The sequence below is a fragment of the Homo sapiens genome, chromosome 19, assembly GCF_000001405.40.
Source record: "Homo sapiens chromosome 19, GRCh38.p14 Primary Assembly".
NCBI lineage: Eukaryota > Metazoa > Chordata > Mammalia > Primates > Hominidae > Homo > Homo sapiens.
The window spans coordinates 52,332,120-52,349,385 of NC_000019.10; the positions used below are offsets into that span (position 1 = coordinate 52,332,120).

Genomic DNA, 17,266 nt, shown 5'->3' on the forward strand with positions numbered 1-17,266 from the left:
TGGGAGCAGTGCTTTAAAGAAGTACTGGGAATGGGAAGTTTTCTGAATCAGGGTAACAAGGGGAATAATTTGTCTATTGAAGAAACATTATTTGCAGTTGTAAAGTTCTGTTGAGACAGTCTGGAGCTCAGGTTAATTTGCAGACACTAACTAACCTCCTGCAGAAGCCCCAAAAAGCTATTATGCGTAACCCATGGTTTCCATAGGCAAGCACTCTTGATGTGGAAAACTGGGATAGAGCAGGAGATGGATTGAAACAGGCTCATCAAAAAGGTTTTAAAGTTGATTCTTCAGTTTTTTCCACTTGGAGTTCAGTTTGTACTGTATTTCTGCCATTATCATCTTCTTATTCTGTGGGACAGCAAGCTGAATCTAAAAATCTGAAAGAATATGTTGCTCTACCCACAGCTCCAACTGAAAATAAAAAACAGGAGAAGGAGGATAAAAATTGGGCTATACAGCCTCCTCCAATTGCAGAAACATTTGTACCACCACCTTCGGTGGCAGAAATAAGAGACCCTAATACAAAGAATTTTATGCTCTGCTGTCATAGCTGGAGAGCCCTTAGGACCTTGCACTTTTCCTATTTCCGTAAGACCTGATCCATATAATCCACAGCAGTTTATTCATGAACACACCCCACTAGAATTTAAGTTGTTGAAGGAATTAAAAACTAGTGTGGTCAATAACGGAGTACAAAGCCCATGGTTCCTGGAGGAAGGAATGCTAGACGTAGAACTCTGAGAACAAGTGAGGAGAAATCTTAACATCAGGCGCAAAGGCATCAGGTCCAATAAAATCTTTAATGTTACGGGCTTTAATTAGATCAGCCTTTGCTCAGTTACACACAGAAGAGCCTAAAAAGAGGAAGGAGGAGAAAACATCACTTGCCTTATCACCTCCTCTTCCCTCAGCCCCAGTATCATCAGGCCAAAATAACAAAGAGGAAATGGAAGTCTTACCTAAGCCTCCTCTTCCAATAGATAGGACAAAGGACAGAGGATACACTACAGCTATCAGTCCCTGTGTTAAGCAGGCAACATTAGAAGGAGAGCTCTTAACCTGCTCAGTAATGCAAAATCGGCAAGGCAATCAGGTGTATGTTTATAAAAAGATAAGAAAAAACGCATTAGAAGCCGAAACTGCGCAGCCAAGCAGGCAGTAGGTGGAAGAAAAGGCTCAGCAGCAGAAAAGCTCCCGGTAACCAAGCCGACAAGGCCTGCCCAGGCTGGCAACATCCCCCTGGCAAAGGAGGGAGGGACCGGCGCAGACACAGGCAAAGCCTAAGAAAGTACAACATGGCTGCCTCCCAGGACCTGCACCGCTGCCCTCTGGCTCTGTGGGCAGCCCGTAGCAAAATTTCATGTGTTACGTCCCAGGCTATGATTCTCTGCTAAGATTTAAGTAAAATGTAAGAATTTGAAAAACCTGCTTTCTAATAATGGTCACTGTTGTTACCTCTCTTCTATCCCTGACGTAGCTTTCCAAATTCAATTTAAGTAAAATAGTAACCTCTGAAGGGAGAGAGATTACAGAGGGCCCATGAATTAGTTAAAGAGTAATTAAAAGCTAGGCATGTAAAACCACACATTACTCTTTAAAGGAGAACTTTAAACCTAATTAAATGGTATTTGTTAAATTAAAAGGTAAAAATGCTGTGCCCTTCTCAGAAAGTGAAGAAAAGTTGTATGTAAGTGTAGTGAAAAACTTATGCATGAATGACTGTCTTAACCTACTGATTACAGATAGTCTTTGATTTGTGCTTGCTAAAAGAGTCCTAAATTGAGTTCTCCAGCTATGGAGTCACTGTTTTCAAGACTGTTTGCCAGATTAAACTCCATAAACTTGGTCACATCCCACAGGCCTTCAGCTCCCTGCAGAAAAGAACATGAGTTAAAACCAAAGAAATCAGAATAAATTATGAATAAGTTGATGGTAGTATATCAACAATGGTTTATAAACTGTAAAACCCATACAAAACTAGTATAAGATGTTAATAATAGGGAAAACGGGTCAGGGTATATGGAACTTGTCTACCTTTTTTGAATTTTTTAAATATAAATCTATAAATCTTCTAAAATAAAGTGTATTAGTTTTTTAAATAACTAATTTAGGCCGGGCTTGGTGGCTCACGCCTGTAATCCCAGCACTTTGGGAGGCCAAGGCAGGTGGATCACGAGGTCAGAAGTTCAAGACCAGCCTGACCAACTTAGTGAAATCCCGTCTCTACTAAAAATACAAAACTTAGCCAGGCATGGTGGCACGTGCCTGTAGTCCCAGCTACTCGGGAGGCTGAGGCAGGAGAATTGGTTGAACCCGGGAGTTGGAGGTTGCAGTGAGCTGAGATTGCGCCACTGCACTCCAGCATGGGTATTGGAGTGAGACTTTGTCTCAAAAATAAAATAAAATAAAGTAATTTATAAAATTAAATGAATATTGACTGGAAACACAGATGAAACAAATTTTCTAGGAAAATGTACTCTACCAATTTTGACAGTAGTAGAGACAGAAAATCTAAACAGAATGTAAGATGAAACATATAAGATGATTTAACAGAGAAATTGCACCAATCTTTCAGGCAGGAGAATCACCTGAGGTCAGGAGTTTGAGACCAGCCTGTCCAACATGGTGAAACCGTGTCTGTACTAAAAATACAAAAATTAGCCAAGCACTGTGGTGCAAGCCTGTAGCCCCAGCTACTTGGGAGGCTGAGGCTGGAGAGTCGCTTGAACCGGGGAGGCAGAGGCTACAGTGAGCTGAAACCGTGTCACTGCACTCCAGCCTGGGTGACAGAGCAAGACTCTGTCTCAAAAACAAACACACACACACACACACACACAATGTAATTTACATCTATTTTTTAAAGTTATTGGTTTTTTTAAAAGCAACAGTTGGGCCGGGTGCAGTGGCTCACCCCTGTAATCCCAGCACTTTGGGGGCCGGGGCGTGGGGGGGGGGTGTGGATCACGAGGTCAGGAGATCGAGACCATCCTGGCTAACACGGTGAAACCCCATCTCTACTAAAAATACAAAAAATTAGGCGGGCGTGGTGGTGGGTGCCTGTGGTCCCAGCTACTCAGGAGGCTGAGGCAGGAGAATGGCGTGAACCCAGGAGGCGGAGCTTGCAGTGAGCCTGGGTGACAGAGCGAGACTCCGTCTCAAGAAAAAAAAGCAGTTGGTGGTGGCCTAACATCCCTCCGGGGACAGGACCCATCGCCGAACGATGGGTATGGTGGCATGTGCCTGTAGCGTTTTTAACACACAGGGAAGCGACCGCCAGACTCTCACGGAGATGCCCCGTTCGTTCTGCCTTGGGCCAGGTAAATACGGATTCCCAGGTTGGCCTTAACCCTCCAACGCGCTTGGCGTTGTCCCTCGGAAACTCTCTAGAGATGAGCACTCTAGAGATGACTCAGTGGACTGGGAAAGGCAGACCCACCTCAATTTGGGTGGGCACAATCTAATCAGCTGCCAGCACAGTCAGAATAAAAGCAGGCAGAAGAACGTGAAAACACTAGACGGGCTTAACCTCCCAGCCTACATCTTTCTCCCGTGCTGGAGATCAGAGATGATGATGGAAAGGGAGAAGATTTCTATTATGTTCTGTGGGCCGTCAGCATGAAATTGCACATGCTACCCAGGCAGGGCTTTGCATTTCACATTTTAACTTGCATCGCCTTCACACAGAATTCCAGGCCTTTTAAATTAAATTGTTAAAATTAGTTTTTATTTACTTATTTATTTTAGGACAGAGTCTACACTGAGTATAGCACTGGGTCTACACTACGCCCAGGCTGGAGTGCAGTGGCCATGATAGCTCAGTGTAGACTCGAACTCCTGGGCTGAAGCGATCCTCCAGCCTCAGCCTCTCTAGTCGCTGGGACTACAGGTGCCTGCCACCACGGCCGGCTTAAAATTGATTTTAATAGCAGGAAATTTCCTGGATCTAATCCTCAACTGACGTTGCTTTGCTCCGGCAGGATCCCAGTTTGCAGAGGGCTGAGCTGCTCCAGCCTCACTGCCAGCAAAACCCGGAAAACAGAGGCACTGGAGGCGTGGCCTAGGGAAGCCCCGCCCCGTCCCGTCCCGGTCCGCTCTCTATGCTGCGCGCGCGCAGTTTTTTGCAGACCCGGAAGCGGATCGCGTGGGTAGAAGGTCACACCGCAGCGCGTCAGTTTCCCTTTGTTTAGATTCAATCTGGGCTTCCCAGCTCCCCCGCGCTTCTGTACCCGGGATCTGAGAGTCAACACAGACCTTGAAATCCCCGCACCGCTCCCTCCACCCCGTGTAAATTCAGGCGTCTCCGTGAGAGTCCGGCGCTCGCTTCCCTGTGTGTTAAAATCGCTCGGCGACGGGTCCTGTCCCCGCTCGTTCTGCCTTGGGCCAGGTAAACACGGATTTTCGAGACTCCTTTCCGCTTAAAACTCTTTACTGACCCAACGTCCTGCCCCGCGCTTTTAAAAGTCCTTACCGCAAGGTGGATTCCCGCCCGGGGAGCCTCCCAACCTCGCCCCCGGCCCCTGAAGCGCAGCGCCGCAGCCCCAGTCCCGGCGGGGGAGGCCGCGTCCTGTACTGGGTCCTGGGACCCTTGAGACCCCACACTTCTAATAATTCAGCCCCACCCTTTTCCTCCTTGATCCGGGCCTTCCTACTCCCCAGGCCTCCCCTTCGCAGCCATCGCTACTCCCGACCCCCGGGTGTGGGGACGTGACTTCTTCTGTCTTAGGACATTCAGGATTCTTCGTCCCAAATTCCATCCCACTAAAAATGTGCTCTTGGCGGAGGTGGGCACCTTATTGTACTCCCCTGCCTATGGATGTGTGGGGAAAGATGGTGAAAGAGTGGCAGGAAATAGAAAAATTTTGAAAAAGAAGCATGAGGGAGATCCATAAGCAGACGGCAGAGAGTAGCTGAGAGATTTACAGAGACAGTGAATGAAGCCGAGAATGTAGCAGGGGGAGAAAAGTAACTGGAGAAATGTAGAGAAAAGCTGGGTCTCCAGAGAGATGAAGATGAAGCAAGATTGGGAGAGGGGCAGAAAGGGGGAGGCTCCTCAGACAGAGTAGGGGAGAGGAGGAGGGATTTGGAGCCAGGGCAGACAGAGCAGCATGGTGCTGGGACAGCAAGAGGGGGCAGCTGATGACAAGGAGAGCAGAGGGAGAACCACAGCATGGGGAGGCCTGGGATCCGGGGGGGCCAGAGAGTGGGGACAAGAGAGTGTAGCAGGGAAGAGGAAATTTAACAGGGAGAACAGAGAGGAAGCAGAGATAGGGAGGGCAAGAAACAGGCAGAATGGAAATTGGGGACAATCAAAAATTGGACACAAAGAGGAACAAGGGGTAAAACAAATTGCCAGAATGGAGCAGAACAAATGGAAGAGAAGGAATAGAGGGAAGAGGGGGAGAAACAGCAGGAGAGGAGAGGGGCAGAAAAATAAGCCAATTCTTATGGGAAAAATGAAGTGAAAAAAAGCAGGAGAAAGAAGGTAAGAATGAGAGAGCTGTACAGAATGAGGGAGGGAAACATACTAATGACAAAAGAGGGGGAACCTGAGTGCAGATGAGCGATGAGTTGATGGACTATTATGATCAAATTGTGATATACTGATTTCTCTAATTGTAATCTAATAAGCACAAAATTTATTTCAAAAGTACAGATGAAGATGAGACTTGCAAAGTTCCTGCCTATAAGGGAAGTGCATTTTATAATTCTTGACATCACAAGTTAGCTTCCATTCACAATCCCTGTTCAGCCAGAGGGCAGTGACTTGCCTCATTCGGGTGTGGGTGAGTGGGTAAGACAGGAGGAAAAACCAAAGCGTTTTTCCTACGCTTACAATCAACACAATAGTGAACACCCAACACAGAATGCCACATCTCTGGTCACCAAAATGTGTTGGGGATTACTTCCCACCCACAAGCAGTTCATCAGACACCACCTGGGTGTTGTGTAATTTAACTCAATTTCACACTAACACTATCTATGTGGAGTTAGCCTCAGATTCTACAGGTTGAGAGCTCAGTTCCACAGGCATGCTCCCACTTCAGGTGCCACTTGCAAGTCCTGGGTTGGGACTTGAACCTTGTGACCAACCAACTATGAACCGGGGGTTCCCATGACCCTTTCCTCACATTTTGTGAATTTGCTAGAGTGGTTCACAGAACTCAGGGAAACTTTTTGCTTAGTTTCACCCATTTGTTACAAACCATATTACAAAGGATACAGATGAACAGCCAGATGGAAGAGCCTTCCTAGCAAACTAATCAAAATGAGGGGCTTTTGGACCAGGCGCAGTGGCTCTTGCTTCTAATCCCAGCACTTTGGGAAGCCAAGGTGGGCAGATCCACTTAAGGTCAGGAGTTCAAGACCAGCGTGGCCAACAAGGTGAAACCCCATCTCTACTGAAAATACAAAAATTAGCTGCGCATGGTGGCGTGTGCCTGTAATCCCAGCTGCTTGGCTGAGACACAAGAATCTCTTGATCCCAAGAGGTGGAGGTTGCAGTGGGCCAAGATCGCACCACTGCAGCCTGGGCAACAGTGAGACTCTGTCTCAAAAAAAAAGGAGGGGCTCTTAGTAAACATGTTTTTTTTTCTTTGAGACGGAGTTTCGGTCTTGTTGCCCTGGCTGGTGTGCACTGGCGCGATATTGGCTCACCACTGAAGGGGTGGCCTGCCCCTCCACACCTGTGGGTGTTTCTCGTCAGGTGGAATGAAACACTCAGAAAAAGAAAGAGACACAGAGCAAAGTACAGAGAAAGAAAAGTGGGCCCAGGGGACCGGCGCTCAGCATACGGAGGACCCGCGCCGGCCCGGTCTCTGAGTTCCCTCAGTATTTATTGATCACTATCTCTACCATCTCGGAGAGGGGGATGTGGCAGGACAAAGGTAATAGTGGGGAGAGGGTCAGCAGGAAAACATACGAACCAAGATCTCTGTCATAAATAAGGAAACGTGCTGTGCCTTGATGTGCATGTATACAAACATCTTGGTGCAGTAAAGAGCAGTATTGCTGCCAGCATGTCTCACCTCCAGCCCTAAGGCGGTTTTCTCCTATCTCAGTAAATAGAACATACAATCAGGTTTTACACCTAGACATTCTATTGCCCAAGGACAAGCAGGAGACAGATGCCTTCCTCTTATCTTAACTGCAAAGAGGCCTTCCTCTTTCACTAATCCTCAGCACAGACCCTTTATGGGTTCCAGGCTGGGGGATGGTCAGGTCTTTCCCTTCCCATGAGGCCATATCTCAGGCTATCACATGGGGAGAAACCTTGGACAATACCTGGTTTTCCTAGGCAGAGTTCCCTGCGGCCTTCCACAGTGTATTGTGTCCCTGGGTACTCGAGACTGGAGAATGGCGATGACTTTTACCAAGCATACTGCCTGCAAGCGCTTTTTAACAAAGCACATCCTGCACAGCCCTAAATCCATTAAACCTTGAGTCAACACAGCACGTGTTTCTGCGGGCACAGGGTTGGGGCTAGGGTTACAGATTCACAGCATCTCAAGGCAGAAGAATTTCTCTTAGTACAGAACAAAATGGAGTCTCTTATGTCTACTTCTTTCTACATAGACACAGTAACAGTCTGATTTCTCTTTCTTATCCCCACACACCACAACCATTGCCTCCTGGGTTCAAGTGATTCTCTTGCCTCAGCCTCTCCAGTAGCTGGGATTACAGGTGCCCGTCACCATGCCTGGCTACTCTTGTATTTTTAATAGAGATGGGGTTTCTCCATGTTGGTCAGGCTGGTCTTGAACTCCCGACCTCAGGTGATCCACCCGCCTTGGCCTCCCAAAGTGCTGGGATTACAGGCGTGAGCCACCGATCCTGGCTGGAAACCATGCTTTTTATCTGCATCTAAACTGAGGGGCAGCCTTGTGGGACTGCACCTTTAACCCGTGGAATCTGTGCCTATCTCCAAGTAGACAGTAGCAAAGTTGAGTTAACCTGTGGGACACACAGCTGCGAGCGTGCCACAGAACTGGTCAGCACGGGCCAGACGCGTTGGCTTAAGCCTGTAATCCTAACACTTTGGGAGGCTGACTCAGGCAGATCACTTGAGGTCAGGAGTTCGAGACTAGCCTGGCCAACGTGGTGAAAAATAAAAAATTAGCTGGGCGTAGTGGCTTGTGCCTGTAATCCCAGCTACTCAGGAGGCTGAGGCAGGGAATTGCTTGAACCCTGGAGGCAGAGGTTGTGGTGAGCTAAGACCGCGCCACTGCACTCCAGCCTGGGCGACAGTGAAACTCCGTCTCAAACATGGGGGAAAACACACATTTTGGTGATGGGCGGCATAGTATTCTGTGCTGAATTTGAGTGTAGTAAAAACAGTTATCTTTTTTCCTTACCTCAAACAGTAAAGGGAAGAGACTTGGCCCACCAGTCTCAGGGCCTGTGATGTCTACTCAATAGTGATGGAATGATCTGTCCCTGCTCCTGGCTGCTGCTGATCCTGAGACTGTACACCATGTGCCAGCCCCACTTACAGTCTCAGAGTGGAATGACATCCCTCCTCTATGGTGTCGTTAATTTTTTTGTCTAGGAAATTATTATTATTATTATTATTATTATTTGAGACGGAGTCTCACTGTGTCACCCAGGCTGGAATGTAATGGCGCAATCTCCACTCACTACAACCCCTGCCTCCCGGGTTCAAGCGATTCTCCTGCCTCAGCCTCTCAAGTAGCTGGGACTACAGGCACACGCCACCACGCCTGGCTAATTTGTGTATTTTTAGTAGAGACGGGGTTTCACCATGTTGGCCAGGCTGGTCTCGGACTCCTGACCTCAGGTGATCTGCCCGCCTTGGCCTCCCAAAATGCTGGGATTACAGGCGGGAGCCACTGCTCCTGGCCTAGGGAATTATTTTGGTCAGCATACTGAAATGGAGGTGTTGTCCACTGAAACACACACACTCACATACTCACTCACTAAAGCCTTTTCGTTCCATTTTTCAATCTTTAAAACAAAAAATACTGTATTTACTACATTTCTCCCTGCAGTAAGTACCCCTCTTGCATGCTCTATTTAAGATCACAGTACACTAAAATCTTGTTTATATTCTCTCTTCAATTCTTGCCCCTAGTTCTTGGTTGACTCCATCCAATCAAGTTATCGCATCCACCCATTCCATTGCTCCTGCGACCTGTTTCTAAATTTATTTTTATTTTTAAAAAGTTTTATTTTTTATTTTTATTTTTTTTGAGACAGAGTCTCGCTTTGTCATCAGGCTGGAGTGCAGTGGCACGATCTCGGCTCACTGCAACCTCTGCCTCCCGGATTCAAGCGATTCTTCTGCCTCAGCCTCCTGAGTAGCTGGGATTACAAGCACACGCCACCATGCGTGGCTAATTTTTGTATTTTTAGTAGAGACGGGGTTTCACCATGTTGGCCAAGATTGTCTCGATCTCTTGACCTTGTAATCTGCCCGCCTCGGCCTCCCAAAGTGCTGGGTTTATAGGCATGAGCCACCGTGCGTGGCCCCTAAATTTATTTTTAATTAATTATTTATTTTTTTAAGGGACGGGGCCTCACTCTATTGCACAGGCTGGAGTGCAGTGAGGCAATCATAGCTCACTGTAACCTCGAACTCCTAGGCTCAAATGATCCTCCTGCCTCAGTCTCCCAAGTAGGTAGGACTACAGGCATGCACCACTATGCCTGGCTAATATTTTTATTTATTTACTTATTTATTTATTTTTGAGACAGGGTCTTGCTCCCAGTCTCCCAGGCTGGAGTGCAGTGGCATAATCACAGCTCACTGCAACCTCGACGTCCTGGGCTCAAACAATTCTCCCACCTCAGCCTCCTGAATAGCTGGGACTACAGGCCCATGCCAGTATGCCACTAATATTTTGGTTTTTTATAGAGTTGGGGTCTTGCTATGTTGCCTAGGCTGGTCTCAATTTCCTGGCCTCAAGCGATTCTCCCATCTCAGCCACCCGAGTAGCCAGGACTACAGGTTTGTGCCACTGTGCCATGCTAATATTTTGATTTTTGTAGAGTTGGGGTCTTGCTGTGTTGTCCAGACTGGTCTTAAACTCCTGAGCTGAAGTGATTTTCCCACGTCAGCCTCCCAAAATGTATCCAGATGGAGGCATCATTCATTAAAACACATTCCTACATAAAATAAAGGTTTTATTTTCCTTCTACTCTTCTATCTTTAAAACAAAAAATATTATATTAACTACATTTCTTCCTCTAGGAAGTACCCCTCTTCTGTGCTCCCAAATCTCTGGAATTACAAGGATGAGCCCCTGCACCAGGCTTAATAGTTTTTAAATTTTTGTCCTCATCTTTCTTTCCCTGTCAGCAGCAATTTGCACAGCCGATCACTCCCTCTTCTTTTTTCTTGGCTTTGAAGAGATTCTTCATAATTTAAAAAATCTGTTTAACTTTTTTTTTTTTTTTTTGAGACGGAGTCTTACTCTGTCACCCGGGCTGGAGTGTAGTGGCGCAATCTCGGCTCATTGGAACCTCTGCCTCCCGGGTTCAAGTGATTCTCCCACCTCAGCCTCCTGAGTAGTCCCGAGCTGGGACTACAGGTCCGTACCACCACACCTGGCTAATTTTTGTATTTTTAGTAGAGATGGGGTTTCACTGTGTTGGTCAGGCTGGTCTTGAACTCCTGACCTCGTGATCCATCCACCTTGGCCTCCCAAAGTGCTGAGATTACAGGCGTGAGCCACCGCGCCTGGCCCTGTTTAACATTTTTGTCATCACCTTCATGTCTCCTGAACTGTCTTCTGTGAATATGGGAGTGTCCCACAATTTAGTCCTTAAACCTGTTCTCTCTGCCCACACCCTCTACCTTTCCTTATGATCTCGTCTTACAGCTTCAAACACCACCTGCCTGTCTCCATTTTCCCTCTCCACCCACCCCTCTCTCCTGAATTCCAGAATCCTGTGTCCACTCGTGTTCTGGACATCTCTGCTGGGGCATCCACAGGCATCTCCACCTTCATATGTCCAAAAGAGACCCTGAACTCCCCAAACACGTATCCCCAGCAGTCCTGCACATATCAGATGAGGGACACCCTGTACTTTCTGGGAATTAAGTAAACCTGTCAAATGTATTTAAAATGTAGGAGATATTTTCTTATTTGTGTTTTCATTTATAATACAAACAATAAATCACATGTTTACTTACATGCCTGTAATCCCAGCTACTTGGGCTAAGGCAGGAGAATCGCTTGAACCCAGGGGGCAGAGGTTGCAGTTAGCCAAAGATCACGCCCTGCACTCCAGCCTGTGCAACAGAATGAGACCCTGTCTCACAAACCCACACACAAAATTATCCGGCTTTGGTGGCAGGCGCCTGTAATCCCAGCTACTCCAGGAGGCTGAGGCAGGAGAATTGCTTGGACCTGAGGCAGAGGTTGCAGCGAGCCGATATCATGCTATTGCACTTCAGCTTGGGTGACAGAGTGAGACTGTCTCAAAAAAAAAAATGTATTTGCTCAGTTAGGATGGAAATAGGCCTGTATGGAAAGTACAGTTAATGTTTGAGTTGTACCTTGATACAAGCAGTTTCTTGGGAGAAATGGCATCCAGCCCAGTGGAGACCCGCAAGAACAGGTCATGTCCATACATTCCCGCTAGAGGGCAGTGCTGGTGTTGGTCGAGGCTTCGGAGGTCACCTTGAAGGCTAACGGTGTGATCATTGGAGAACAGCTGGCATACAGCCACGTCTCAGTGTAGGCTGCAGGTCTTCAGAGAGGCCCCTGACAGCAGAGTGTGTCGCAGCCTCTGGTCTCACAGTGCCTGTCAACCTCTTGAATTTCTGTGTATTTTGAATTCCAGTAGTCGAGGTCAGAATCTCATATATGGGGTCTGAGAAGGTGCCATATAACATTCTCCAGGGGAGCTGGGAATCCAACCACATTCTCTGGGGTGGGAGGGAAGTTTACTCCATTTCCTATTTATGGGGGCTGCTAAGGGGTGATGCATCACTCGTGAAGGAAGGAGGAACACACTCCAAGTTCTTATCACAGCACACAAGTCATTCATGTAGCAAACTATGTAAGTGGAATCATTTGAAACCTACATAACAGGGGGCCCAGGTTTCTCCTGCCTCAGAGACTTCATCTGGGCTGTTCCTCTGCCTGGAACTCTCTGGCCCCTCAGCTGCAGGTGACAAACACCCTTCCTTCCCCAGGCCTTTGTTCTGGTAGTACCTTCTTAGGATTCTGTGACCCCCCCATAGCCCCCGATTTAACACTCCAGCCTGACCCCACCCCAACTCTCCTCCATTTTGAAGCTGTGTGTGTTTCTTTCTTTCCCTTTTCCTGCCACTGTCTGGATCCTGGTGACAGCAAGGACCCAAGGGGAGAGACGAGCCAGAAGGTGGGGACTGTGCTGGCTCAACCCCTCTGAGTGGAGCTCAGCCCTAGTCTCACATTTGAGAGCTGAGGCATTTTGCAGAAACATCTCTTGTGCCTCCTTACAGAGATTCTGATTTCAATACTCAGGTGGAGGCCAGGCCTAATATTTAAAGCTGATGCTACAGTAGTTGCTCCCTATCTGCTGGTTTGATTTCTGTGGTTCCAGATCCTCGAGTTTAACCGTGGTCTGAAAATATTACACAGAAAGTTCCAAAAATGAAGAATGTACAACTTTTAAATTTCTTGCCATTCCGAGTAGTGTGCTGAAATCTAGCACTGTCCCACTCTCTTTTGTTTTTGAGGAGTCTCCATTGCCCAGGCTGGAACGCAGTGGTGCAATATCGGCTCACTGCAACCTCTGCCTCCCAGGTTCAAGTGATTCTCATGCCTCAGCCTCCCAAGTAGCTGGGATTACAGGCATATACCACCACACCCCACTAATTTTTTGTATTTTTAGTAGAGACAGTTTCACCATGTAGCCCAGGCTGGTCTTGAACTCCTGAGCTCAGGCAATCCACCTACCTTGGCCTCCCAAAGTGCTAGGATTACAGGTGTGAGCCACTGTACCCGGCCAGTCCCATGCTATTTTGCCCAGGACTCGAATCATCTCCTTTTCTGGTATATCTAGGCAGTACAGTCATCCCTCAGTATTGGAGGGATTACTTCCACGACCCCTGAGGATACCAAAATCAGGTGATCTTCAAGTCCCTTATGTAAAGTTGCATAGTACAGCCATACACTGCATAATGACATTTTGGTCAACAATCAGATCTATGATGGTGGTTCCGTAAGATTACACTGTTACACTGGAGATGAGAAGTTCCTGTTGCCTAGCTACATCAGAGTAGTCATGACGTCATAGTGCAGTGCATTCCTTGTGTCTGTGGTGATGCTGGGGGAAACGAACCTAGATCGTTGCCAGGCAGCTTTAACCTGGGTGTGGGTGAGGATGACACTGTGATGCTCCTAGAGGTGGTTCATGAGGAATGGACGAATAAGTGGTTGGAACTGATATGAGAACACATAGCTGAAGAAGAGGTGAGAAGATAGGAAAGTGAAGGAAAAGAAAAAAAAAATCCAGGAACTTTCACAGTGAAGGGTTTAGCAGAAACTTGTACAGACCTCAACAAGCTTCTTAAAAAGTTTGAAAACATGAACTCCAACACCAATAGGTGTTTATTTATTTATTTTATTTTTATTTTTATTTTTTTTTGGAGATGGAGTCTCGCTCTGTCGCCCAGGCTGGAGTGCAGTGGGGTGATCTCGACTCACTGCAAGCTCCGTCTCCCGGGTTCACACCATTCTCCCACCTCAGCCTCCCGAGTAGCTGGGACTACAGGCGCTCACCACCACGCCCAGCTAATTTTTTGTATTTTTAGTAGAGACGGGGTTTCACCATGTTAGCCAGGATGGTCTCGATCTCCTGACCTCGTGATCCACCCGCCTTGACCTCCCAAAGTGCTGGGATTACAGGCGTGAGCCACTGCGGCCAGCTTATTTTATTTTTTGAGACAGAGTCTCACTCTGTCACCCAGGCTGGAATGTAGTAGTGTGATCTTGGCTCACTGCAACCTCCGCTTTCTGGGTTCAAGCGATTCTCCTGCCTCAGCCTCCTGAGTAGCTGGGATTACAGGTGCCTGCCACTACACCCGGCTAAAGTTTGTATTTTGTTTTTTTTGTTTTTGGTTTTTTTTGAGATAGAGTCTCTCTCTGTTGCCCAGGCTCAGCTCACTGCAACGTCTGCCTTCCGGGTTCCAGCGATTCTCCTGCTTCAGCCTCCTGAGTAGCTGGGATTACAGGCATGCGCCACCATGCCCAGCTAATTTTTGTATTTTTAGTAGAGACGGGGTTTCACCATGTTGGTCAGTCTGGTGTCGAACTCCTGACCTCGTGATCTGCCCGCCTCGGCCTCCCAATGTGTTAGGATTACAGGCGTGAGCATGGGGCCCAGACTAACGTTTGTATTTTTACTAGAGGCAGGGTTTTACCATTTTGGCCAGGTTAGTCTCGAACTCTTGGCCTGGTGTGATCAGCCTGCCTCAGCCTCCCAAAGTTCTGGGGTTACAGGCGTGAGCCACCACACCCAACCCCAAAAGGTGTTTATTAATAGAAAGGAAAGTTTATGGTGCATTACCTGCTCACAAGAACATTTAGGAAGAAAAAATAAGCAAGTAAACCACCATAGATATTTTTCTTCCTCTCTCGTTTTCCTAATCAGCTGATTTATTTTTTTATTTTTTGAGACCGAGTCTCGCTCTGTCACCAGGCTGGAGTACAGTGGTGCGGTCTCGGCTCACTGGAACCTCCACCTCCAGGGTTCAAGCAATTCTCCTGCCTCGGCCTCCTGAGTAGCTGGGACTACAAGCCTGTGCCACCACTCCGAGCTAATTTTTGTATTTTTAGTGGAGATGGGGTTTCACCATGTTGGCCAGGATGGTCTTGATCTCTTGACCTCAAGATCTGCCTGCCGCGGCCTCCCAAAGTGCTGGGATTACTGGTGTGAGCTACTGCACCAGGCCCTCAGCTAACTTTCAGATTCACACCACAGACATATTTCTGAAAGGAGTGCCTTCTCTCCTAGAAGAGCCTCGGGCAAGTTCTTCAAGAGGTATCCAGAAGAAGTCATTGTTATCCCAGATGACAGCTCCATACATGTTATTGCTCCTGAGGACCTTCCAGTGGGACAAGATGTGGCACTGGAAGACAGTGACATTGATGGTCCCCACCCTGTGTAGGCCTAGGCTAATGTATGTGTTTGTGTCCTGGTTGTTGACAAAAAAGTTTTAATGGGGAAAAAGATTTTAAATGGGAAAAAGCTTATAGAATAAAGACATGAAGACAAAATATTTTTGTACAGCTATATAACGTGTGTTTTAAGCTAAATGTTATTGTAGAAGTCAAAAAGTTTAATTTAGAAGTTTATAAAGTCAAAAAGTTATAGTAAGCTAAGGTTAATTTGTTATTGAGAAAAAAATATTTTTTATGTTAGTGTAGCCTAAATACACAGTAAGTATGTATTTATTTTTGAGACAGCCTCTCACACTGTCGCCCAGGCCGGAATGCAGTGGTGCGATTATGGCTCACTGCAGCCTCAACCTCTTAAGTTCAGGTGATCGTCCCACCACAGCCTCCTGGGTAGCTGGGACTACAGATGTGTTCCACCATGCCTTGACTTATTTCTTGTATTTTTTTTTGTAGACACAGGAGTGTTGCCATGTTGTCCAAACTGGTCTCGAAATTCTGGAGTCAAGCAGTCTGCCTGCCTCGTTCTCCAAACGTGCTGGGATTACAGGCATGAGCCACTACGCCTGGCCAAGTATTCGGTATTTATAAAATCTACAGTAGTACACAGTTATGTCGTAGGCCATCACATTCGGTCACCACACACTCACTGACTCATCCAGAGCAATTTCTAGTCCTGCAAGCGCCATTCATGGTGAGTGCCCTAGACAGCTGTACCATTTTTTAAACATGTATATCATATTATTATTGTACCTTTTCTATGTCGAGACATGTTTTTATTTACAAGTACATACCATTGTGTCACAGTTGCCTGTAGTATTCAGTACATAACATGATGTACAGGTTTTTAGCAATAGGCTATACCATATACCCTAGGTGTGTAGTAGACTATACCATCTTGGTTTATGTAAGTGCAGTCTGTAATGAAATGGTCTGAAAACACATTTCTCAGAACCGGTCCCATTACTAAGCAGTGCATGACTGTATTTGCATATAAATTACACATGTCCTCCCGTAGACTTTAAATCATCTCTTGATTACTTATAATGGATTATTTTTAATGGATTAATGAAATTTATAAATGCTATGTAGTTGTTATACTCTGTTGTTTTCTTGTATTATTTTCATTGTTTGTTACTTTTTGGTTTCTTTCCTTTTTTTTGTAATTATTTCAGTCTGTCGTTGGTTGAATCCCTGGATTTGGATCCTAGAAATACTGAGACTGAGGGCCGAGTGTAGACTCTATCTGCTCATTAGTCAGTGAATAGTCTTCTTTTTGATCTGCTCCACTTTTGGGGTACCTCAGTCCTTTTGTTTAACCCTTATTTTACTTAACAGTATTCCCCAAGCACGTGAATATTGATGCTGGCAATTTGGATGTGCCAGTAAGAAGCTGTCACATGCATAATTTAAGTGGAGTAAATAGAGGTCAGTACTGTTTGAGGTTCCAGGCATCCACTGGGCATCTTGGAACATATCCTCATGGATACGGGGATTCCAGTGTGTTCTGTCTCTGGCGCTGAGCACCAACGCTCTGTGTCCTCCATTTCTGAGGGCTTACATGAGCCTGGGATCCATAGAGAGGGGAGGAGGGGCTGTGCTCTTCATGGAGTTTGGTCACAGCTGTGTCTCTTCCCTGAATGGGGCAGCTCAGTCCAGCCTAGCTCCCTACTGCTGTAGCGTGTGTGCGGGCTTCTCCAGGAGGGGAGCGAGTCCTGAATAAAAGAGTAAAAATTTCACTCATTCTTCCTGTAGGAATTTCTTGTCCCTGCATCAACTCTGGTGCAGTGGGCAACAGAGGACATCTTTCCGCAGGATTAGGTCTAACCTGTGTGTGTGGTTGTGGCATAGGGAGGGGAATGTGTTGATTCCGAGCAGTAATCAGTGTATTTTTGACATTTAGGATTGACTTATAAACAGTCATGCTATGTGATGAAGAAGCCCAGAAGAGGAAAGCAAAGGAGTCAGGGATGGCTCTTCCTCAGGTAAAGTGATATTCTCGGTGGTTGGTTCTCTCTGTTTCTTTCTGAAATGCCTGAAGCATCCTGCCTGACACGTTTGCTCACACTCACCCATGCCTTCCCTCAGTCCCTTTCATCTCGCTTAGATTCTATCTCTCGTGACCCAGTGACATG

At 46.7% G+C, this 17,266-nt stretch overlaps 1 protein-coding gene across 8 annotated transcripts in view, besides 1 other annotated feature; it reads left to right on the forward strand.

Annotated features, from left to right (window-relative positions):
- Positions 1–17,266, forward strand: part of ZNF610 (zinc finger protein 610) — a 37,558-nt gene that overhangs the window by 1,899 nt on the left and 18,393 nt on the right. For 2 of the 8 annotated variants that reach the window (NM_001161425.2, NM_001161427.2), the window contains exons 1-3: positions 4,124–4,387; positions 15,588–15,825; positions 17,035–17,116. In NM_001161425.2, coding sequence (NP_001154897.1) covers positions 17,054–17,116 — 63 coding nt within the window. In that variant the 5' untranslated portion in view covers positions 4,124–4,387; positions 15,588–15,825; positions 17,035–17,053. Of the gene's footprint in view, positions 1–3,295; positions 3,321–4,123; positions 4,388–13,309; positions 13,428–14,838; positions 15,137–15,587; positions 15,826–17,034; positions 17,117–17,266 lie in introns of those variants that run through there. The other 6 variants (XM_047438287.1, NM_001161426.2, NM_173530.3 and 3 more) reach the window with 6 other exon arrangements.
- Positions 5,908–6,408: an enhancer, noted in NCBI's record as "H3K4me1 hESC enhancer chr19:52841280-52841780 (GRCh37/hg19 assembly coordinates)". NCBI's record gives its function as "activates a minimal SCP1, AML or CMV promoter by ChIP-STARR-seq in primed H9 embryonic stem cells {active_cell/tissue: H9 hESC(primed)}" and the evidence as "EXISTENCE:reporter gene assay evidence [ECO:0000049][PMID:30033119]".